At 35.8% G+C, this 24,460-nt stretch overlaps 1 protein-coding gene across 11 annotated transcripts in view; it reads left to right on the top strand.

Moving 5' to 3' along the window:
• DNAH7 (dynein axonemal heavy chain 7) overlaps positions 1-24,460 on the top strand; it is a 331,135-nt gene that overhangs the window by 42,898 nt on the left and 263,777 nt on the right. For 10 of the 11 annotated variants that reach the window (XR_922968.4, XM_017004504.3, XM_011511490.4 and 7 more), the window contains 4 exons: positions 1,436-1,511; positions 6,645-6,770; positions 13,034-13,153; positions 24,082-24,265. Coding sequence is in view for 10 of the 11 variants with exons in the window: in XM_017004504.3 (XP_016859993.1) it covers positions 1,436-1,511; positions 6,645-6,770; positions 13,034-13,153; positions 24,082-24,265 (506 nt within the window). In the remaining variant the exon portion in view is untranslated. The remainder of the gene's footprint in view (positions 1-1,435; positions 1,512-6,644; positions 6,771-13,033; positions 13,154-24,081; positions 24,266-24,460) is intronic. The other variant, XM_011511488.4, reaches the window with a different exon arrangement.

Genomic DNA, 24,460 nt, shown 5'->3' with positions numbered 1-24,460 from the left:
CTTTAAAAAAAGCGTCTCCAGTTGGTTATGATAGTAAACCTAGTATGACGGATGCTGTGTTCAAAATTGGAGAAATAATAATGCTTTGGAGTAATGTGGGGACCCTTATTGGTGGAGGACATTCATTGTATTTATGACTTCTATGGAGTATCCTGGTGATATAAAAATAAAAAGCCTAATCCCTGCCCTCAGAGTTCATAGTGTAATGAGGGAGATAGACAATTAACTAAATATAAAGCAAAGTAATAAGTCCAAAGAGGAAAGAAACAGAAGATACACTGTAAGGGAGAAGAGGTCATCTCTAACTTGTTAGGAAGGACTCTGGAGGAGCCTAAACTAAGTCTTGAAGGATGAAAAACAGTCTAGTCGGGAACATGCTTGGCCTAGGAAATGGTGTGAATGATAGCAGACGCCCATGAGAGGCTCTTCTGGGCTTGTAAGCAGTTCTGAAGCCAAAGCATAGGGTGCATCTGGGGAAGGGGACAGAATCTGAAGGGCTTTATATGCCTTTTTAGAGCGCTTAAAGGTAAAGGAGAGTCTCTGAAAGATTGTAGGGAAGGGGGTAATACATATGATTTGCATATTAGAGCTTCTTGAAATATGGGCAGAAGAATTAGAATTAAATGTGAATTAAAGACCATAGAAGACAGAAGCGAGGTAGCTGACTTCTCTGATTTTATAACAAGACTGTTTTATGCTCTTATGCAACTTAAAAGAGAACAAGGCAATACTGTTGTTCCTTGGTATCCACAGGAGATTGGTTCCAGGACACTCCCCTCCCTGACAGATACCAAAATCTGCAGATGCTTAAGTCTCTGATATAAAATGGCATAGTATTTGCATATAACCTATGTACATCCTCCCGTATACTTTAAATCATCTCCAGATTTCTTATACTACCTCATACAATGTACATGCTATGTAAATCGTTGTTACACTGTATATTTTTATTTGTATCATTTTTATTGTTGTCTGTTATTTTTATTATTTTTTCTGAATATTTTTGATTCATCGTTGGTTGAATCCATGGATGCAGAACCTGCAGATACAGAGGGCCAAGTGTATGTACCTTTTCTCGGTGAAATAGAACTACTGCTATCCTGTATTGTTGACCTTCAATTCAACAAGAATATTTTTGATGGAATAGCTATAAAGGAAAATATAATATTAAGAGCAATTATTCCTTTCAAATGAAAGAGGAGGGACACATTGTGTTAAGAAAGGGAACATATATCCTCAAAGACACAGACATGATACATTTTCTTGTAAGGTTTTAAAAATTTTCTTCTCCTCATAAATGCACAAATTTCTCATTATTAAACAACTTTAATATAATTTAAACAGTTAATCTTAGTAGAACTAGCTTTGCAATTGCTTGGAAATGTACTACAGTTAATATAAGGTTATTTATCAGAATTTTAAAATTTTCTTTTAGTTGATTTTGTTTTAAAAGATCCTCGAGAGAAAGGAGATGATAAGAAGACAGATGAACTTCCAGCCCATCGTGCTGAGTAAGTGATCAGATTTCTCTAAGAATGTTGATTATGTGACCATTTCTGTATATGTTTATATCACCAATTATATTTTCTCAAATGTATGTTTATAATTTATATATAAATGTATATGTGTGTATGTATGTATTTCATATACAGGCATGCCTCATCTTATTGCACTTTGCTTTATTGTGCTTCACAGATACTGTGTTGTTTGCCAGTAGGAGGTTTGTGAGGGTTTTTTGCAACTGAAGGTCTTTGTCAAGCAAGTCTGTTGGCATCATTTTTCTAACAGTGTGTGCTCACTTTGTGTCTCTGTGTCAGTTTTGGTAATTCTCACAATATTTTAAGCTTTTTCTGTTATTATTACATCTGTTATGGTGAGCTGTGATCAGTAATCTTTGATGTTACTATTATAATTATCTTGGAAAGCCACAAACTGCACCCATGTAAAATGGCAAACGATGTCAATAAATGTTGTGTGTGTTCTGACTCCTCCACCAACCAGTCACTCCCCCATTTCTCCTCCTTTCCTAAGGCCTCCCTAATTCCCTGAGACAGAACAGTATTGAAATTAGGCCAAGTAACCTACAGTGGCCTCTTGAGTTGCACATTTCTCACTTTAAATCAAAAGCTAGAAATAATTAAGCTTAGTGAGGAAGACATGTTGAAAGCCAAGATAGGCCACAGCTAGGCCTCTAGTACCAGTTAGCCAGGTTGTGAATGCAAAGGAAATTAAAAGTGCTATTCCATTGAACACATGACCAACAAGAAAGTGAAACAGCCTTATTGCTGATATGGAGGAAGTGGTCTGGAAGAAGATCAAACCAGCCATGACATTTCCTTAAGCCAGAGCCTAATCCAGAGCAAAGCCCTAACTCTCTTCAGTTCCGTAAAGGCTGAGAAAGGTAAGGAAGCTGCAGAAGAAATGTTTGAAGGTAGCAGAGGTTGCTTCATGAGGTTTAAGAAAAGAAGCAATCTCCATAACGGAGCAAGGGTTGAAAAATTAACTATTGGGTTCTGTGTTAAGCAGTTCTTATGTTGCCTTAAAGAAATACCAGAGACTGGGTGATTTATAAAGAAAAGAGGTTTAGTTGGCTCACAGTTGCTCAGGTTTTATAGGAAGTATGTTGCTGGCACCTGCTTGACATCTGGGGAGGCCTTGGGAAGCTTACAATCATGGCAGAAGGCAAAATGGGAGCAGGCATCTCACATGGAGAGAGCAGGATGAAGAGTGAGAGGGAAGATGCCACACACTTTTAAACATCCAGATCTCATGAGAACTTACCATTGCGAGGATAGTGCCAAGAGGATGATGCTAAACCATTCATGTGAAACCTGTCCCCATGATCCAGTTACCTCCCAACAGGCCCCACCTCCAGCACTGGGGATTACATTTCAACCTGAGATTTGGAGGGGATATACAAACTATATCAGGGACTGTGCTGGCACCTGGGTGTTGGGATCAACTGTTCCCCAAACCTCAGCATCACACAATATACCCATGTAACAAATATACCTGCACCTAAACCCCCTGAATCTAAAATAAAAGTTGAAATTACAGAACAAATTTTTGAAAGGCTATATCTACTATAGTGATTTCTCTGAGGGATCTTGGCAAAGTGAATTGAAAACTTTCTGGAAGAGATTCACTGTTGTAGGTGCCGTTAAGAAAATTTGTGATTCATACAAGGTGGTAAAAATATCAACATGAGCAGAAGTTTGGAAGAAGTTCAACCCTTACGGATGACTTTGAGTGGCTCAAGACTTCAGTGGAGGAAGTCACTGCAGATGTGTTGGAAAGATGTGTTGGAAGCCAGAGAACAAGAATTAGAAGTGGAGCCTGAAGATGTGACTGAATTTCTCCCATCTCATGATAAAACTTGAACAGATGAGGAGTTGCTTCTTATGGATGAGCAAAAACAGTGGTTTCTTAAGATGGATTCTACTCCTGGTGAAGATGCTGTGAACACTGAAATGACAACAAAGGATTTAGAATATTACATAAGCTTAGTTGATAAGGCAGCATCAGAGTTCAAGAGGATTGATTCCAATTTTGAAAGAAGTTCTAGTTGGGTACAGTGCTATCGAATAGCATTGAATGCTGCAGAGAAATCTTTCATGAAAAGAAGAGTCAATTGAGGATGTGGCAGATGTCATTGCTGTCTTATTTTTAAAAATTGCCACAGCTTGGTTAGTTAGAAGCCATTAAGACCTTCCACCAGCAAAAAGATTATGACTCGCAAAAGGCCCAGATGATTGTTAGTATTTTGTGGCAACAAAGTATTTTAAAATTAAGGTGTATACATTTTTTTTTCCCGAGACAGGGTCTCACTCTCTTGCCCAGGCTGGAGTGCAGTGGTGTGATCTTGGCTCACTGCAACCTCTGCCTCTGGGTTTCAAGCGATTCTCCTGCCTCAGCCTTCTGAGTAAGTGGGATTACAGGTGTGCACCACCACGCCTGGCTAATTTTTGTATTTTTAGTAGAGACAGGGTTTAACCATGTTGGCCAGGCTTGTCTCAAACTCTTGACCTCAAGTGATCCACCTGCCTCAGCCTCCCACAGTGCTGGGATTACAGGTGTGAGCCACTGCACCTGGATTCCTTTTTTCATTTGTAATTTTCTTGAGATAGGGTTTCTTTGTTTCCCAGGTTGGAGTGCAGTGGCATGATCACAGTTCAGTACAGCCTTAACCTCCCAGACCCAAGTGATCCTCCCACATTAGTTTCTCAAGGAGTTGGGACCACAGGTGCGTATCACTATGCCCAGCTAATTTAATTTTTTTTTTTTTAGAGACGCAATCTCCCTATGTTGCCCAGGCTGGTCTCGAACTCCTGGGCTCAAGAAATCCTCCCACCTTGGCCTCCCAAAGTGCTGGGATTACAGGTGTGAGCCTCTGTGCCTGGCCCTATATTTTATTTTAAAGATATAATGCCATTGCCTGCTTAATAGACTACAGTATAGCATAAACATAAGTTTTATATGCACTAGGAAACCAAAAATTTGTGTGACGTGCTTAATTGCAATATTTGCCTTATGGGGGTGGTCTTGAACCAAACTTGCAATATCTCCATTGCAAGCCTCTATACAACTAATTGTTCTTATGTGCTTTGTTTATTTATGTATTTAAGCCTAACGTTACATTTATGAGTTGATGGATCGATAGGTAGATGACTAGACATAGACAGGTGGACACTAAGTTGGTTAAAACATAAGTACTTGGTGGAAAGAATATGATATAGGTTTTTTAATCCCCATAGCAACTAGCACAGACTTCAGATATGGTAGGGGCATAAAAGCTTGATTTTGGGAACATTGGGAACATTACAGAATATATATATTTATAGAATGTATTTCAATTTATTACATGGATGGAAATATAGAACACATAATGGGAAAATCTCCTTGCTGTATATTTTCTCTAATAATAACATTTAGGAATAAATCTCTTAAATAGTTTGAAGGATGGAACTTATATGATTAAATAACCACTTCAGTTTTATTTTCTTTTATATCATTTTAAAATGCCCCAAAGGCCAAGTGCGGTGGCTTACGCCCGTAATTCCAGCACTTTGGGAGGCTGAGAAGAGCAGATCACTTGAGGTCAGGTGTTTGAGGCCAGTTCTGGCCAACGTGGTGAAACCCTGTCTCTACTGAAAATACAAAAGTTAGCTGGGCATGGTGGCGTGCACTTGTAATCCCAGCTACTCAAGAGGCTAAGGCAAGAGAATTGCTTGAACCCAGGAGGTGGAGGCTGCAGTGAGCTGAGATCGTGCCACTGCACTCCAGCCTGGGCAACAGAGTGAGACTCCATCTCAAAAAAAAAAAAAAAACAAAAGCCCCAAATTATTCCCCATTCCACACACACACACAAAAAAAGTTATGTACCCATTTTCCATATCCTCTAGGGAGAACAACTTTTCTCCTGGGAAAGACAAAAATCATCCTTCATAATTGCAAAGGTGATACAGCCACATATGAAAAATTGAATTAAACTTACTATATACACAGAAAATGTAAATGTTTAAATATATTCTGAAAGATGAAGATGGCACATTTCAATATATAAAAGATGATTATTAAAGTCATAAGAGTTACAGAATACAGTTGATCTTTAACACGGGGGTAAGGGCCACTGAGCTCCTATACCACATATAATTTTTATACGTGGTTAAATATATAAGCTTAACTTATATATAACAAAGCTTAACTATTAATACCCTACTGTTCACTGGAAACCTTACTGATAACATAAACAGCCAATTAAAACATATTTTATGTGTTATATGTATTATATACTGAATTCTTACAATAAGCTAGAGAAAAGAAAATTTTATTAACAAAATCATAAGAAAGAGAAAATATATTTACTATTCATAAAGTAGAAGTGGATCATCGTAAAGGTCTTCATCCTTGTAATCTTTACATGGTGGTGGTAGTGATAGAGGAGCAGGAGGAAGAGGAGGTGAAGGAGGAGGGAAAGAAGAAGGGGGAGGAGGAGGGGGAGGGAGAGGGAGATTGGTCTTGCTGTGCGGGGAGTGGGTGGTAGAAGTGGAAGAAAATCCACATGTAAGTTGATGTGCACAGTTCAAACCTGTGTTATTCAAGGGTTAACTGTAAATGTGTCTTCAAATAAAAACGTTAGTGTTTGTGATTTATAAATGATGTTTACATATTAACGGGGTAAAGTTCAAGGGGATTTCTATGGGAAGGTTGGACTATATCCTTAAAATGTTTTAAAAATAAAAATAAAAGAGGAATTTTAAAAATAAAGGGAAAATTTAAATGTATGTCCTGAAATTAGTAGAGAATCTTTGAAGATGTTTATGAGAGATAGCTGGCTGCTGTTTTCATTTGTTCATTGTAAATTATTTGTGGATTCAATAAGATCAAGTATTTGGAGATAAAAATTAGTTACCTTTTGTTTTAAAGATTTAAATCTAATTTCAGAGTCATTTTTATAATGAAATTATACTAAACCATAAAACATATGATCTTTATATATTTTAAAACATAATTGCTTGTTTTGTTATTATGATGAGGGATACAGCACATATTTTATTAAAATTAAATAATTATTACCCAAAATGTACAGTTACTATAAAAATACTTTTTTTGAGACTGTAACTAAATATTTTCTTTGTTTTCAGAATGGAAATTCTGCCAAAACCTTGGAGGAAATCTTTTTTAGCTGCAAGCAGTTATATTAGGGATCACTTGAATGCAATGAACCCCACAATGCTGGCTGTACTAGATTTGTGGCACACTAATTTTAAGTGAGTATATGTGGCCTTATAGAGGTTTTTAAAATATAGAGGGAAGTTGTTTTACTATATCTTAATTATTTCTTTTACTATTTTAACTGCAAAGTAAAACATTACCATTTTAATGTAAGTATTCAAACATGGTTTTAAATAAACAACAAAGAAGTATATAGAGCAAAAAGTGAACACTGCTTTTCTAAAATTTTAAATTTTTTAATTTTTTGAGTACATAGTAGATGCATATATTTATGGGGTACATGAGATATTTTGGTAGAGGCATGCAATGATTAATAATCACACCATGGAAAGTTTGGTGTCCATCCCCTCAAGCATTTTTCCTTTGTGTTACAAACAATCCAGTTATACTCCTTTAGTTATTTTAAAATGTACAATTAAAGTATTATTGACTGTAGTCCTCCGGTTGTGCTATCAAATACTAGGTCTCATTCATTCTGTCTAACTATATATTTTCTTGTACCCATTAACCCAATTCTGCTATTAATGGACTCTGATGCATTCTTCAGCACGTCAATTGTGTTTTTCAACTCTAGAATTTCTGCTTTATTTGTTTTAATTATTTCGATCTCTTTGTTAAATTTATCTTATGGAATTCTGAATTCCTTCTCTGTGTTATCTGGAATTACTTTGAATTCCAAGGACATTTATTTTATTTCAGTTTCTGATACTATGAATAATGCATCAGGAAATAACCTTGTAAATATGTTATTATTCACTGGTCCCTTTGTTTACATGGGATAGATTCACAAAAGTGGGATAACTAGATCATAGCATATTTATGTTTTTATTTTAGTATATTTTGCTGGATTTTTTTTCCAGAAATGTTTGATACTATACGTTTTTACCAACAGTAAATGAGAACTTCTTTCCCTAAAATTCTAACTATGTGTATTATACTATTTGTCAATCAATGTAAAATGCTATATCATCATTACTTCGATTTGCCTTTGCTAGACTACTAGGGAATCTGAACATCTTTTCATGTGTTTGTTAGTTATTTGAATTTGATTATGAATTCTCTACTTATATCTTTGTCAGTGTTTTGTTGGTTCTTCATCTTTTCTTATCAATTTGATAACCTCTTAGAATAACAGAGGTTTCAGTTCTGTGTCTAGTACCTGAAACAAATCAAACAACTGCTAAAACTTAGGTTTATAATTTGTCCATTGACTGAGTTTATAGTTTCCTTCGATACTCTGAAATTAAAAATTTTTATACTGTTAAATATGTCTCTGTTTTCTTCTGAATTCTCCTAGTCTTGGTTAAGAAGGTCTCCTTATTTAGTAAATTGTATGTGAGATCTTCCTGGCTAACTAGTAAAATTTTTTTATTTTTTTAACATTTTAGTTTTTTGACCACCTGAAGGTTATTTTTACCAATGATGTAGAATGAAATTCATTTTTATTTTCTTCCAGATAGCCAATTGTGCCAGCATCATTTCTTAAACAATCTTACCTTTTCCCCCTTAATGGAGCGATCACCTTTGTCATGGATTAACTCTTCAATCTATAGAAATCTACAGAATTTATAGTAATCAGAATGTCTTTCTGGATTCTCTATTTTTTTCTTGTAATATTTGAATCTCTTTCCGTACAAGTACAGATTAATTTGATTAGGGTGACTCTATGGCATGTGCTTATATTTGGTGAGAGGAATCCCAACTCTATTTTTTATGCTCTTCTTGGCTATTTTTTAAACATTCACTTTTCCTTCTTAAGTTTAAGCCTATTTTATTTAATTCAAAAGAAAGATGGAAAGAGAAAAATTGTCCGTGTTCTGATTGGAATTTATTAAGTTTTTATATTAATCTCAGAAAATAGACATGTGTAATTAAATTAAGAAGCACTTTGGGGCCAAGTGTTGTGGCTCACGCCCGTACTTCCAGCACTTTGGGAAGCCGAGGTGGGTGGATCACAAGGTCAGGAGTTCAAGACCAGCCTGCCGAAGATGGTGAAACCTCGTCTTTACTAAAAATACAAAAATTAGCTGGGTGTGGTGGTGGGCGCCTGTAATCCCAGCTACTTGGGAGGCTGAGGCCGGAAAATAACTTGAACCAAAAGGCAGAGGTTGCAGTGAGCTGAGATAGCTGAGATCATGCCAGTGCACTCCAGCTTGGGTGACAGAGCAAGACTCCAGCTCAAAATAAAATTAAAATTAAATAAAATAATAAAAAAGCACTCTCGCTCATATCCTACATATATTTCAATATTCAATCTCGTGTATATATTTCAGTAAGAGTTCGTAATTTTTATATAGATTTTCGGTTTACAGAATTCCCTCTCATTTCTTCTTTACAGCAGAATTTCTTTATAAATTTTGAGTGATTCCCTTTTGGGAGGGATACTTGGGCATGAAGTTTCACTCCAATGCCTTTCTAGGAAGCTTTGCCTTCTCCATGTGGGTAAATTATTCAAGTTTATTTTTTCCTCCCCTCTTTTCATTTGCACACTGTGGAACTCTCTGAACTTACAGACTCGGCTTACTTTGCTGAATGAACCCAGGTCTGCAGAATGTAATGAGATTATACAGGGTTTCTAACACATATTCTGACCTTCTACATACTTCAGGGGCCTCTGCTGACTTCAGAGAATGGGCTAGGATCCTTAAAACTGGCTTTAGCTTTCAGAATACATACTTCCAGGAAATGCATTCTTCCACCTTTCCATTGTACAGTATGGATTTCTTTGTCTGCTTAATTTGACTTGTACTAAGTAGGAAGAGGCTACTTCATTGCCCCATGTTTTTGTCATTTCTTTTCTTTTGAATATTGGAGTTAAAATACCTCTTCTCAGCTGACAAGGCCCATGATCTAATTTTGCATGCAGTCATGAGGTCATACAATATAGTATATTACTTTCACAAATTATGTTTGTGTAAATTAGTACATTTCATTTTCAAAACAACACCACAAGTTATCGTTTTTTTTTATATCCACTTTCAGAACACACTGAGCTGGACACTGAAGGATGGGACTCCATGACCTACTACTGTCCATAAAATGCTAGACTTGGTCTGTTAGACGATTTCAGGAGGCAAGAGATAAGAAAATGAAAAGGGGGAAGAAAAAGTAACAAAGCTGAAATTTAAAAAACAATAGAAAGTGTATGTGTCCAAAATTAGGCTCCGTAGTTGTGGTGGCAGAGATGTTAGCAGCAACTGAAGCAAACTTCAAGGCATCCATGGTAAAGACACATGGGAAAGAAGCCTTGCAGTCTGTGGGTGAAAGAAGAGCTCCACAAGCTCCTATGTTGCCTTTGAAAGCCTAGGTTGTTTTTATTCTCTATGTGAGTATTAAGAGTGGGGGGACAGTCAACAAGGGCTACCCCTCTGAGTAGTAGCCAGCATTGAATACAAAGGGCATGCTTCTAGTGGCAGTCATTTACCCTGAATCTCAGCAGACCTTGAAAATATACGACATCTCTATGTGTGGCAGTGGGTTGGGGAATGTTAATGCAAAAACGTGTCTGAGTGACTCTAAAATGCATGAGTTTGGAAACCTGATAAGATGCTCTCTAGAAAAGATGTTGAAATTCATGTTATTGGTATTTACACTTACAGAACCCACTTAATGTCATAGATAGCCTTTGTAATGCAGTCATACCCTACACAACACATATTTTTGCTTGTAAAATAATGCGTATATGAAGATCACAAGAGAATGTAGAAATTACAGTGTAATATAAATCATCATAGTTGAATGTAAAAGCAGATGTCTGAGAAAGTTAAGCTCATTTTAAAGATGAAATGGCTTTTAAAAATTTATTATTTGATGAAGATGAATCTAGGAAAAAAATTACTAGATAAGAACACTATAATTGATTTACCGTACAGCACACAGGATACAAATGAAATCATTTTTAAACATGTTAAAAAGATGCTTAACCTAACTCATAATACAAGAAATGTAAAGAGATTGAAATTAAAACTATACTGAGAAACTGTTTTCCCCACAAATTACAAAATTTGATATCCCATTTTATTAGTAAGGCTTGAAGAAATGGGCTCCCATTTGAGGGAATCCTAGCCATACCTATCATAATTACAAATTACAGGTAACACTTGAATCCAGCAATTTCACTTTTGGATAAGTAGTGTACAGACGCACCCGAGAATGTAGGAGGTGATATAGTTATAATGCTATTTATGGTGGCATTTGTTTATAAGAGACTGGAAACAAGCCAGCATCCATTGATAGACTAGTTAAATAAGTTATACTATGCACAATGGAATATTATGTAGTTATAAAATATGAGTGAGAAAAATCTCGATGTGTTAATATGAAAAGGTCTCCAGGAGAAGATATTCAGTGAAAAAAGCAAGTGCAGGACACTGGCCTATAGTGTGCTACTTTGAAAGTTACAAAAAAAGGAGGACGGCAAAAGCAAAACATGTTCCTAAGAAAGGGAAAATTTCATGGGACAACCAAGAAATGTAGATACTTCGAGTGGAATTTCTGTGGGAAACTTGGTAAGAAGAGAGAAGATTAGTTTTGAGAACCAGAGAACAAAGGTAGAGACTGACTTGATGCTAAGTCCAGAGTATTGGACCAGGACTGTTGAAATTCCTCCTGCCTGAAAATCAGTGACAGAGCCAGGGGTCAGGGTGGGTTTCAGCTTGGGGTGAGCATTAAGTGACAGTTGTGAGGGCAGGAGGGATATGTGACCAATAGATGGGTCTACAGAAATTCACTTCTGATTGGATGTGGGAAGATAAAGGATAGGAAGAGTTCAGAGACAGTCCTGAGTTTCATGGTCTGGGTGATTTGGAGCTGTTCGGTTCTACTAATAGAAAATTGCAATCAAGAAGTTATTTTGGTGATTAGAAGACTCATCATCATAAAACTTTTAAAGAGACTTGCATTTCCTTCTGCTAACCAAATTGAAGCTAATGCATAGTGAGTAATATCTTTTTTCCTGATCCTTTCTATTGTCTTAAACCAATGATTTAAACTATTGTTTCACTGCTGGGTTATTGTAGGGACTATCCTGAGAAAGCAAGAACAGTGTCTGGTAGTATTTTTCCTGTTTTCTTAACAATTCATCCTATTGACCAGATGGGTAATGCTATCTGCAGAGATTTCATGGGAAAGTTATTGTACTGTGTAAAACCTTTCAATCTCAAAACATCAAAGATGGTATTCTATGCCTCGAATTCTGTTTCAAATCGAATACGAAGAAACTAAGGAAAATTGGTCTGGTGGCTCAATGGCAAGGTGAATTCCAGAGCTTGTGCCCTTGCAACTACTACTTATTCAGTGCTATCTCACACCGCATGCATCTGCATCCTGATTACAGCTGCAATTTTAAAATGTAAAATAATGTTGAAAGCATTGACTAGGAAGCTAAAGAGATCAGATCATGTTTACTATGTGCTATTATGCTATATTTTAAACATTTTATTTAAAACATTACATTGCTCAATTATGCAGAATAACACATTGGTTCTCTAGCAGTGGTTATACGTACTTTGTGCCTAATTATTATCAATGTCATGTACGGAGTACATTATAACTCAGATGAATTTTAGCTTGTGGAAGAAATATAAGGAAATAGATTTGAAATGTGTTTTATTTACTAACCAGTATTTTACATTGGTCTTTAAGGAAACATTAAATGTGATTTTTTAAAGAACAAGTTAATGCTAATATTATTCTTTCATTTTTGTTAACCTGACAGAGAAAATACTTAGATGAGTAAACCGTGTGTATAACAAAGATCTATAACATTGTAGTCAAAAGAAGGATTGTATTGAAAGTTGTTGACTCCAGTAATCCCTGTGTTCTTTAAAAAAAACCAGACAGGCTCAAAAGAGTTTGATATACTGGTTCTTGATTAGATGTGAGACTCCTTCAATCCATGGCTGCCTGAAATGAGGGCCACTTTCTTTTCAGAGAGGCTGCAATTTTTTCTTTTCAGAGCAGTGGATCCTAGAAGCATTGAGCCCTCCCTCTTTTCCTGTTTAAATTATTACAGTTTAAAAGCAAAAACCAGTTTAAACTATCCTTCATATCCCAGTTATTGCAACTTTCTTCTACTTCACAGTGAAGTTATGTATTTTGTTGTGTTCCTATTGAATTTAATTATATGAATTATTTTTAAAATTAGAATATCTTGTGTTCTTTAACATTTAATTATATAGAACACAATTTTTAATGATTAAACCTAGGAATATGATATTTTTAAGAAGGAACCAATTAATAAAATATTAAATACCAAAAAAGTCATTGTTAAATTACTGTTTATTTTTATCTTTTGCAGAAAATTACGTTTAGTTGATATCAAAGAATTTCATAATTGCCAGGATGCATTAGAGCTGTCAAGTTTTCAGAACATTATCATGAGACACATGGACTCTGCCAAAGAGACTCTACTTAAAATGTAAAGGTTTGAAATTTCATGTAGGAAAGCATAAGTTTAAAAATATGATTGTGGGCTACTGCATTTTAACTGCTTTTAGAAGATCCAATTTTAATGTTTTAAATCATTTCTACATGATTTAAATATAATATCTTTAATTATCTTAGTCTGTAATATTTGTCCAGATGTTCTACACAGCGTAGATTGTGCAGAAACTAAAATGTTCATGACAACTGGTTACTTTTTTCTAAGTGTCTGGTTTGTACCTATCCTTTGAGAGGGGTGCTGAATACCATGAGAGAATGGTTACCTAATCATTATTCACCAGGTATTTGTCATCTGCTGTTAACACATGCTAGGCTCTGTACCTCCCTTCATTTTGTTTTTGGATGGGGAAAGCAGAAGAGTTTAAAGAATGGTTAAGTGGGGAAAGTATATCGTTTAAATGAATTAAAAAAATCTCACTAGAAGGCAGACCTATCAGATGATAATTGAATATCTCCTTGGATTGGCTTTTCGGAATGGAATAGCCACATATGATAATTCATAATCTGGGAATCAGACAGTATGCTTTGAAGCAACTTAGGAAAATTGTTTCTCTCATGGGTCATTAAGTTATTATAAACAGGACATTAAAATTCAGTCAAATTTAAGGTAGCAGAGGACATGAAACTGCTAGCATAGCTTCATGATTTCTAAAAGTTACTTAGAAAGATATCTTCATAATTTGAGATTAAATATTTCCTTTATCTTGCTTTCTTCTCCAATGTGTTAGAATAAAATTCTTTGATATTACTTGAAAAAACTTTAGCCTTTTATTTTATATTAGTATTTAGTTAATGTAAAAGTAGAGTTAAGAGGTGATAAAATGAAAACCCATAATTAATTACAGAGAAGAAAGTGACCTCTTAAGGACAGGATACAAATAAATTATCTTGATCTATAACTTCTGGGTTCTACCCTAGGAATACATTACCACTGTAAATTTTAGTTAAATGGGTGTCAAATTACAGAGTAGAGTACAAACCTTTATTGAATTATTTTTTTGCTGAGAAATGCAGATTGATTAGCTGTATCTCTTGATGCTTCCTGATTGATTCTCAGGGAAGAACTCTCTGACCATATTTTAAGTAGTGAGCCAGAAAGTGTTTATCATGACCAAAAGGCAGAGCATCAGCTCACAGAGGAGAAACAATTAGCAAATGATTAATTATGACTTCCACCTCAAACCCAAATGCCTTTTCATCGTCCTCATCTTCCATTTTTACTCACAGTGTGTGGTTTCCAGACTTCTGGAAACCCGCTTTTCTGTGCTGCTGTGTTTCTCTAGTTCTTCTTCCATTTATCTTTTTCTGGCTTTACTTATTATTATTCCCTACAAGTAGGGTTCCCCAGGTCTTTGTTGTTATCTCTCTTCTTTATATTTTCTTGACAATTTCATGAATTCTTCTGCCTCAAGATTTTGTCTTCTGAGCTTTAGGCCTGTCTTATCAATTTTTAAAATTGATACATAATAATTGTACATATATAGGGTACATATATTAATGGAATATTTTGATGCATTCATACAATGCATAATGATTCAATTAGGGTAATTAGCATATCCATCACCTCAAACATTTATCATTTCTTTGTGTTGGGAGCATTCCAAATCTTCTCTTCTAGCTATTTTGGAATATACTATAAATTCTTGTTAACTATAGTCACATTACACTGCTGTCAAACACCAGAACTTATTCCTTCTATCAACTGTATTTTTGTGCGTATTAACCAACCTCTCTTCATCCTCCATCCCAAACCTGCCCTTCCTAGCTTCTCTTAACCGCCATTCTACTTACAACCTCCATGACATCAATGTTTTTTTAGCTTCCACATATGAATAAGAGCATGTGATATTTATCTTTATGTGCCTGGCTTATTTCAGTTAACACGATGTCCTCCAGGCTCATCCATGTTGCTGCAAATGACAGGATTATATTCATTTTTATGACTGAATAATATTCCATTGTGTATATAAACTACATTTTATATACTATATTTTATGTACATTTTATATTTTGTTTACATTTTATATACTATACACACACACATACACACACTATATTTTCTTTATCTATTCACCCACTGATGGGCCAAAGTTGATTCTGTATTTTGGCTATTGTGAACAGTGCTGCAATAAACATGGGAGTACAGCTATCTCTTTGATATATTGATTTCCTTTATTTGGGGTATATGCCCAGCAGTGGAATTGTTGAATTATATGGTAGCTGTAATTTTAGTTTTTTGAGGAACCTCTGTAGTGTTCTCTCTAGTGGTTGTACAAATTTGTGTTCCCAACAGTGTATGAAAGTTCCTCTTTTTGTCAGGGATGGTGGCTCACACCTATCACTCCCAGCACTTTGGGAGGCTGAGGTGGGCAGATCACTTGAGGTCAGGAGTTTGAAACCACAATCAACATGGTGAAACCCTATCTCTACTAAAAATACAAAAATTAGCAGGGTGTGGTGGCGCACACCTGTAATCCCAGCTACTTGGGAAGCTGAGGTGGAAGAATCGCTTGAACCTGGGAGGTGGAAGTTGCAGTGAGCCAAGATCACACCACTGCACTCCAGCCTGGGTGGCTGAGCAAGACTCTGGCTCAAGAAAAAAAAAAAAAGAGAGAGAAAGAAGAAGAAGAGCAGGGAGGGAGAGATGGATGGAGGAAGGAAGGAAGGAAAGAGTTCTTTCTCTACATCCTTGCCAGCATCTGTTATTGTTTGTACTTTTGATAGTAGCCATTTTTAACCAGAGTGAGATAATATCTCAGTGTGCTTTTGATTTGCATTTCCCTGATGAATAGGAATGTTGGCATCAGTGTGCTTTTGATTTGCATTTCCGTGATGAATAGGAATGTTGGGCATTCTTCATATACCTGTTGGCTATTTGTACATTTTATTTTGGGAAATGTTTATTTCAATCATTTGCCCATTTTTAGTGAGATTATTTGGATTTTTGCTGTTGAGTTGTTTGAGTTCTCTATGTATTCCAGTTATTAATCCTTTGTACAATGAATAGTTTGCAAACATTTTTTCCCATTCTGTAGGTTGTCTCTCTACTTTGTCTAGTTTCCTTTGCTATGCAAAGCTTTTTAGCTTGATGTTATCCTGTTTGTTAATTTTTGCCTTCTTGCCTGTGCTTTTAGGTATTCCTCAACACATCTTTGCCCAGACCAATGTAATACTGAATATCTTTAGTTGAATGTCACGTCAGCACCTGAATCTCAGCATGTTTCTAGCAATGCTTATTCTCTTTGTTCCAAACCTGCTACTCTTCCTGTTGTGAACCATTACTAGGCCAAGTTGAAAACCTTGGGACTTTTTTTGTTCTCTTTTGAAATTTCATGTAAGAAAGCATGAAATTTTAGCTCTGCTTCCAGCGGTACCCAATGTATTGCTATTCTTTTTTTATTGAGAAATAATTCATTTACCATAAAATTCACTACTTTAATGTGTACAATTCAGTAGTTGATAATATACTCGCAAGGTTGTGCAACCATTACCATTAGTTCCAGAACATTTTCATTTTCACCATGCCGTATAGTTTGGATGCTTGTCCCCTCCAAATCTCATATTGAAACGTAATCCCTAGTGTTGGAGGTGTGGCCTGGTGGGAGGTGTTTGGTCATGGGGGCAGATCACTCATGAATAGCTTGGTTCTGTCCTCATGATAATAAGTGAGTTCTTGCTCTGAGTTCACACAAGATCTGGTTGTTTAAAAGTGTATGGCACCTTCCTCCTTGCTCTCTTGCACTCGCTCTGGCCATGACATGGCTGCTCCCCCTTCACCTTCTGCCGTAATTATAATGTTCCTGGGGCCTTCACTGGAATCAGATGCTAGAACCATGCTGCTACAGCGTATAGAATCATGAGCCAATTAAACCTCTTTTCTTTATAAATTACCCAGTCCCAGATATTTCTTTATAGCAACACAAGAATGGCTTAATACGCCCTAGAAAGAAACTCTGTACCTGTTAGCAGCCATTTCCCATTCTTCCACCCAGAGGTGCCTGGTAACTATGCTAATATTTTTTTTGTCTCTATGAATTTCCCTACTCTGGACATTTCGTCTCAGTGAATATATGGTCATTTATGCCTGGCTTCTTACAGGAAGCATAATGTTTTCAAAGTTCATTCATATTATAGCATGTATCAATATGTCATATCTTCTCATGGCCAAATGATACTTCAGTATGGCCAAATGATATTTCAGTATATGGATATAAGACATTTTATTCATCCAGTCATCAGGTAATGGACATTTGGGTTGTTTCCACTTTTTGGCTGTTTTTGCTATGAACATTTATTTTGCATAAATATATTTTTAAGTTCTCTTGACTGTATACCTAGGAGTGAAATTGCTGGGTTATATGGTAATTCTGACTTTTTGAGGAACACTCGCACTGTTTTCCAAAGTGACTATAAGATTTCACATTCCTAACAACAATTTATGAGGGTTCCAATTTCTCCACACACTTTCCAGCACTTGTTATTGTCCATCTTTCTGCTTGTAGCCACCCTCGTGGTTATGAAGTTGTATCTCACTATGATTTTGATTTGCATTTCCCTCATGACCAATGATGTTGACTATCTTTTTATGGGCTTATTGTCTGTTTATTTGTCATCTTTGGAAAATGTCTATTCAAACCCTTTGTTCATTTTCTACTGGGTTGTCTGATTTTTATTTTTGACATGTAAAATATCTGATATTTTGTTGTTGAGATTTAAGAGTTCTTTGTATATTCTGGATACTAGACCCTTATCAATTATATTATTTGCAAATATTTCTCCTATTGATAGTATCCTTTGAAGCACAAATATTTTTAATTTTGACGAAGTCTCATTTATGTTTTTTCTTTGGTTGTTTGTGCCTTTTGGTATCTGTGTTAATCTGTTCTCACACTGTTAATAAAGACATACCTGAGACTGGGTAATTTATAAAGGAAAGAGGTTGAATTGGCTCACAGTTCCACATGGCTGGGGAGGCCTCACAATCATGGTGGAAGGCAAATGAGGAGCAAAGCCCGGTCCTACATGGCGACAGGCAAGAGGGCATGTGTAGGGGAACTCACATTTATAAAACCAACAAATCTCGTGAGACTTATTCACTACCACAAGAAGAGTACAGGGGAAACTGCCCCTGTGATTCAATTATCTCCACTGGTCTCAGCTTTGACACATGGAGATTATTACAATTCAAGGTGAGATTTGGGTGGAGACACAGCCAAACCATATCAGTATCATATCCAAAGCCACCAAGATTTACCTGTTTTCCTGTGTGGTAAACAGAACTAATCATTCTATAGTTGTAGCTCCTACATTTAGGCCTTTTTGACCTTTACAAACCAAATTCATTTTAACTTATACATGGTCTGAGGTAGGAGCCCAAATTTATTATTTTGCATATGGATATCTGGTAGTCTGAGCACCATTTGTGCAAGACTCTTCTGAGTGAGTTGTCTTGGCACCTTTGCTGAAAATCATTTGACCATATATGGGAGGGTTTATTTCTGGGCTCTCTATTCTGTTTCATTGGCCTATTTGTCTTTATGCCAGTACCAAACCGTTTTGTAGTAAGTTTTGAGATAAGGAAGTGTGAGTCCTCCAATTTTGTTCTTATTTTTCTGAGTTGAAAAATTGTTGTTGTTCTGAGTCCTTTGTATTTTATATGCATTTTAGTAGCAACTTGTCCATTTTTTAAAAAATGCCATTGGGATTTTAATAGGGAATGCATTACATCTGTACATTAATTTTAACTTAATAATGTTAAGTCTTTCAATTCATGAACACAGGATGTCTTTCCATTTATTTAGTTCTTCTTTAATTTATTTCAACAATGTCGTGTAGTTTTCAGTATATGTGTATTACATTTTTTGTATGTAATTATGTATGTAATTTTATATGTATTAAATGTAAATACAAAAATGTATTTACATTTTTTGGTTTAATTTTTTTCTAAGTATTCTTCTTGATGCTATGTAAATGGAATGGTCTTCTCAATTTCATCTTCAGATTGTTGCTAGTGTGTAGAAATACAACTGAATTTTATATATTGATCTTGTATTCTACTACCTTACTAAACTTATTTATTAGCTTTAATGGTTTTTGCGTGTGGATTCTTTATGGCTTTCTATATATAAGATCATATCATCTGCAAATAGAGACAGTTTACTTCTTCCTTTCCTATCTGGATATGTTTTTTTTTTTTTCCTTTCCTTAGCTAATTTCCCTGATTAGACCCTCCAGTACAATGTTGAATAGAAGCAGCAAGAGCAGATATGGTTTTTTATCATGTAGTGTTAGATTTTGTAAATGCTTTTTGAATCTATTGAGATAATCATGTGATTTTTCCCTTTTATTCTATTAATATGGCGTATTACATTGATTTTTCATGTATTGAACCAACCTTGAATTCCTGAGGTAGATTCTACATGGTCATGGAATGGAGATAATCCTGTCTTTTTTTGGAGACAGGGCCTTGCTCTGTCAGCCAGGCTGGAGTGCAGTGGTGCGATCCTGGCTCACTGCAACCCCTGCTTCCTGGGTTCAAGTGTTTCTTGTGCCTTATCCCCCTGAGTAGCTGGGACTACAGGCATGTGCCCAGCTAATTTTGTTCATTTTTGTAGAGACAAGGTCTCACTGTGTTGCCCAGGCTGGTCTCAAACTCCTGGACTCAAGCAATCCTCCTGACTCAGCCTCCCAAAGTGTTGGGATTACAGGCATGAGCCATCACATATGATCATATAATACTTTTTATGTGCTTCTGGACTTGGATTTCTAGTATTTTGTTGAGGATTTTTATGTCTTCATTCATATGAGATATTGGTCTGTAGTTTTTGTGTGTGTGTGTGTGTGTGTTATGTCTTTGTAGTTGGTATTATAGTAATACCTCACAGAATGAGTAGGAAAACATTCTTTTCTTTTTTCCTTTTTGGTTAGTGAATTCTTTACAAACCAAACATTTGGTTTGGTGTTAATTTTTTAAATTCTTGTTAGAACTACCAGTGAAGCCATCTAGTCCTGGCCTTTTTTTCCTGGAAGGTTTGTAAATTATTAATATTAATTTGATCTCTTTTACTTGCTACAGGTTTATTGATATTTTCTATGTCTTTTTAAGTCAGATTTGGTAGTTTTTGTCTTCATAGAATTTGTCCGTTTTTTCTAGATTATCAAATTTGTTGGCAAACAATTGTATATTATATTCCCTTTTAATTCTTTGTATTTCTGTAATGTTAGTATTAGTGTCTCCCCTTTTATTCCTGATTTTAACAATTTGAGTCTTTGCTCTTTTTTCTTGGTCAGTTTAACTATAAGTTCATGAGTTTTGTTGATCTGTTTAAACAACCAACTTTAGGTTTGTTGATTTTTCTTTATTTTTCTATTCAATATTTTTTTGTTTGGACTTACCTCTTTATTTCCTCCCTTCTCCTTCTTGTTTTGAGTTTAGTTATATATATATATATATTTTTGTTTGTTTGTTTGTTTGTTTGTTTGTTTTGGAGATGGAGTCTTGCCCTGTCACCCAGGCTGGAATGCAGTGGTGCCATCTTGGCTCACCGCAAGCTCTGCCTCCCGGGTTCATGCCATTTTCCCACCTCAGCCTCCTGAGTAGCTCGGACTACAGGTGCCCACCACCACACCCGGCTAATTTTGTTTTTGTATTTTTAGTAGAAACGGGGTTTCACGGTGTTAGCTGAGATGGTCTTGATCTCCTGACCTTGTGATCTGCCTGCCTTGGCCTCCCAAAGTGCTGGGATTACAGGCGTGAGCCACTGCACCCAGCCCTTTTTTTTTTTTTTTTTTTTTTTTTGACACAAGGCCTCATGCTGTTGCCCAGGCAGGACTGCTGTGGCATGAACATGGCTCACTGCATCCTCTTGACCTCCTGGGCCCAAGCCATCCTCCCACCTCAGCCTCCTGTGTAGCTGGGAACACAGGCGCATGTCACCATGCCTAGCTAAGAGTGTGTGTGTGTGTGTGTGTGTGTGTGAGACAGACCCTCACCATGTTGTCCAGGCTGGTCTTGAACTCCTGGACTCAAGAAATCGTCCCACCTTAGCCTCCCAAAGTGCTGGGATTATTACAGGCATGAGCCACCATGCCCAGCCCTCCCTTGTTTTTGACATAGGTGTTTACAGCTAAAAATTTCCCTCTAATCACTGATTTTGCTGCATTCCCTGAGTTATGCTATGTGGTGTTTTCGTTTCCATTCATCTTGTTTTCTAATTTCCCTTATGATTTCTTATTTGAGTCATAGGCCATTTAGAAATGTGTTGTTTACTTTAGACATATTTGTGAATTTCTAAGTGTCTTTCTGTTATTGATTAATGATTTTGTATGATTTTAAACCTTTTACATTTATTGAGACTTATTTTATGACCATCAACTATTTTTGATCTACTCTCAGAAGCAACTTGCATGTGTATCCCTTCCTCTTAATCCCCAGGACTACTACCCTTGGCTGGCCCTCTTAGCCTCCCATATAGCCTATTGCAAAATCTGAATAACTGCCATATTCCTTTGTCTCTGGTAGCTTTCTTTTTCAAGCCTAGCCTGTAAACCACTGCTCGATGAGTCTTAAAATATTCCCCAGTTCAGTGCCTCCCTTTTGTTGAGAAAGTAAGTCCATATTTCTTAATATGCCTTTAAAGGTTTTCTGTAATATAGATCTAACTTGTCTTCTCCATCCTCAGTTCTAAAAAGACTTTCACCTTGGATCATGCCTGTAGAAATAGTCATGTTAAATAAAACAGAATATAACTTCTATGAATAGTCTGTAACCACACCTTACCACTGTTAAAAATCCATCTGTGGACTAAGTTTGAAGGCTCTTTGTTCCCCCTTTTAACCAATTACTGATTTTTAAAGTAATTAGTTACTCCTTATTTGTTTTCATTTGTGAGATGGGAGTGCTATGAAAACTTGAAACTCTGAGACTCTTAGCATTGTCATCTTTGTTTGACTAATTATAAAGATTGAATTAGAGGTTAAGGAGATTAAAATGGAATAAGGACCTCTTGCACACTATCAGCAAACTGTTATGGTTTACACTATTTAGAATGCTTGATGCAGGTCATTACTGGAGAAGACTCTCTTCTGTCCTTCAATACCCAGCCTAAATGACCCTTCTTTCATGAAATTTTTACTGTTATCTCATCAAAAGTGATATCTTCCTTATGAATGCCTCCAGTACTTTGTTCTCTTCTAAGTCCTTTTTAAAAACAATATTTATTTATGTATGTATGTGCCTCTTTTCCTTCACTGATCTATTAAGCACTTTGAGAATTAAGAAATCTTTTGTACCCCAAATGTTTCATTCATAATAGGGAGTCATATAAATATTTTTGAGAGAATGAGCAATTGAATACTTTTTAAAATACATCGTATTTGTCCTCTTTCCAGTTCTGCAGACCTAAACTTATTTCATCTCTTGCCTGAACTGGACCTTCCCCTGTGTATTTCTTCCTGTTTTCTATTCTGTTGTCTATTTTAGACACTGAAATGATCTGATAACCCTACCTACTCCATTTATTTTTCTTTATAATTCTTCCACTTTGAATCTTTCTCTCAGGGCCTTCCTCATTCTCTTTTCCATCTTTTTTTTTTTTTTGGTGAAATTGCCATCTTCACTATGAAACCCTTCTTCATTATTTAAATGGAAAATTATATCTATCCTTTTATTTCAGATTTTTTTTTCTTTTATGACACATTGCCTTTATTATTATGAGAGAAATGATGATACCATCTTTTTTTTTTTTCTTTTTGAGACGGAGTTTCACTCTCGTCACCCAGGCTGGAGTGGAATGGAACCATCTCGGCTCACTGCAACTTCTGCTTCCCAGGTTCAAGCAATTCTCTTTCCTCAGCCTCCCGAGTAGCTGGGATTACAGGCACTCACCACCACACCCAGCTAATTTTTGTATTTTTAGTAGAGATGGGGTTTCACCATGTTGGCCAGGCTGGTCTTGAACTCCTGACCTCAGGTGATCCACCCACCTTGGCCTCCCAAAGTGGTGAGACTACAGGTGTGAGCCACTGCACCCAGCCGATACCATATTTTTTATATCTTCTACAACACTGTTCCTAGTATGTAGTAGACACTTAACACATATTTGTTAAAGGGATGAATAAATATATTTCAAATTTAGATTTTCTCTCTTGGAACATTCAGGAAACTCCTGAAATTATATTGACTATTTAAAAAATTCATTATCTCTTATAAAAAAAGATAACAGTATTTTAAAATTCTGTAGTGTTGGAGAGTGGTTTTATAAGTTGAAAACTTTGCTTATTATCATCATTATGTACCTATATATGAAATTACACTGTAATCCTTTTATTACAAGGACACATACACATTCGAAACTTTGTTTTAGATCAGACACTCTTTCAGGATATCACATTAAGGGGAATGAGAAAATAAATACCTGATTTTGTTGATTTGTAAATTGTTTTCAAGTAACTGTAAACAGATAGAATAGCATGAAACAACCAAGTGTATTGAACATGGTATAAGCCCTCCCTTGGTTAATCAGTTATTCACATTTTAACTTTAAACTAACAAATATATTCCCTAGATAATATTTAGGAGATTGGAGAGGAGTATTTTGTAATATCCAGTAAAGTTAGTTCTATATTTCTTTAAAAAGTCAGGAGCCATAGTTCCAGGAGTTAGAATTATGTCTTTCTCACAGCATCACATCACTGAGTAATTTTCTATTGGCTAAGATTTAAAATTTCTTTTCCTAGAAGTGACATATTTTAACACTTACATTTCGGAGAGTGGGTAATATCATTTAGCAATATACTTCTCTATGAAGACCTTTAGATGTCCAGAAATTAGTGTTAATGCTTAATATAAAAGGAGTAATTCACTGAAAGCACTGACTTTTAAAAGTCTTTTGTTCTTTCAAGGTGGTTTCCAGAAGTGCAGAATATTTATTACCAAGGTAATAAAAAAAAGCAATTGCCAACTGGTGACAGCAGTGCCAAATTGGAATCTTTTTTCAACTGTGCTGCTGCACTTATGACTTTACAGCTGCAGGACCTCACTTTAGTCTCCATGCAAGATTTCACGGACTTAATTGCACAACCCCCAGTAAGTATGGTTCAGTTCACCAATATGTATTTACAAATTTATTTATTTTTAATTATTTCAGAGAGGAAAATAACATCTCTATCAGTGAGAGGGCAGAAAGTACATCTTTAGACCTATTACACTTATCTTAAAAGAAAAAATTGTCAGCCAGGCATGGTGGCACATGTCTGTAGTCCCCACTACTCAAGAGGCTGA

This window comes from Homo sapiens, chromosome 2 (genome assembly GCF_000001405.40).
Source record: "Homo sapiens chromosome 2, GRCh38.p14 Primary Assembly".
Classification (NCBI taxonomy): Eukaryota; Metazoa; Chordata; class Mammalia; order Primates; family Hominidae; genus Homo; species Homo sapiens.
The sequence above is the reverse complement of the archived record's forward strand: the minus strand, read 5'-3'. Positions and strand labels throughout refer to the sequence as shown.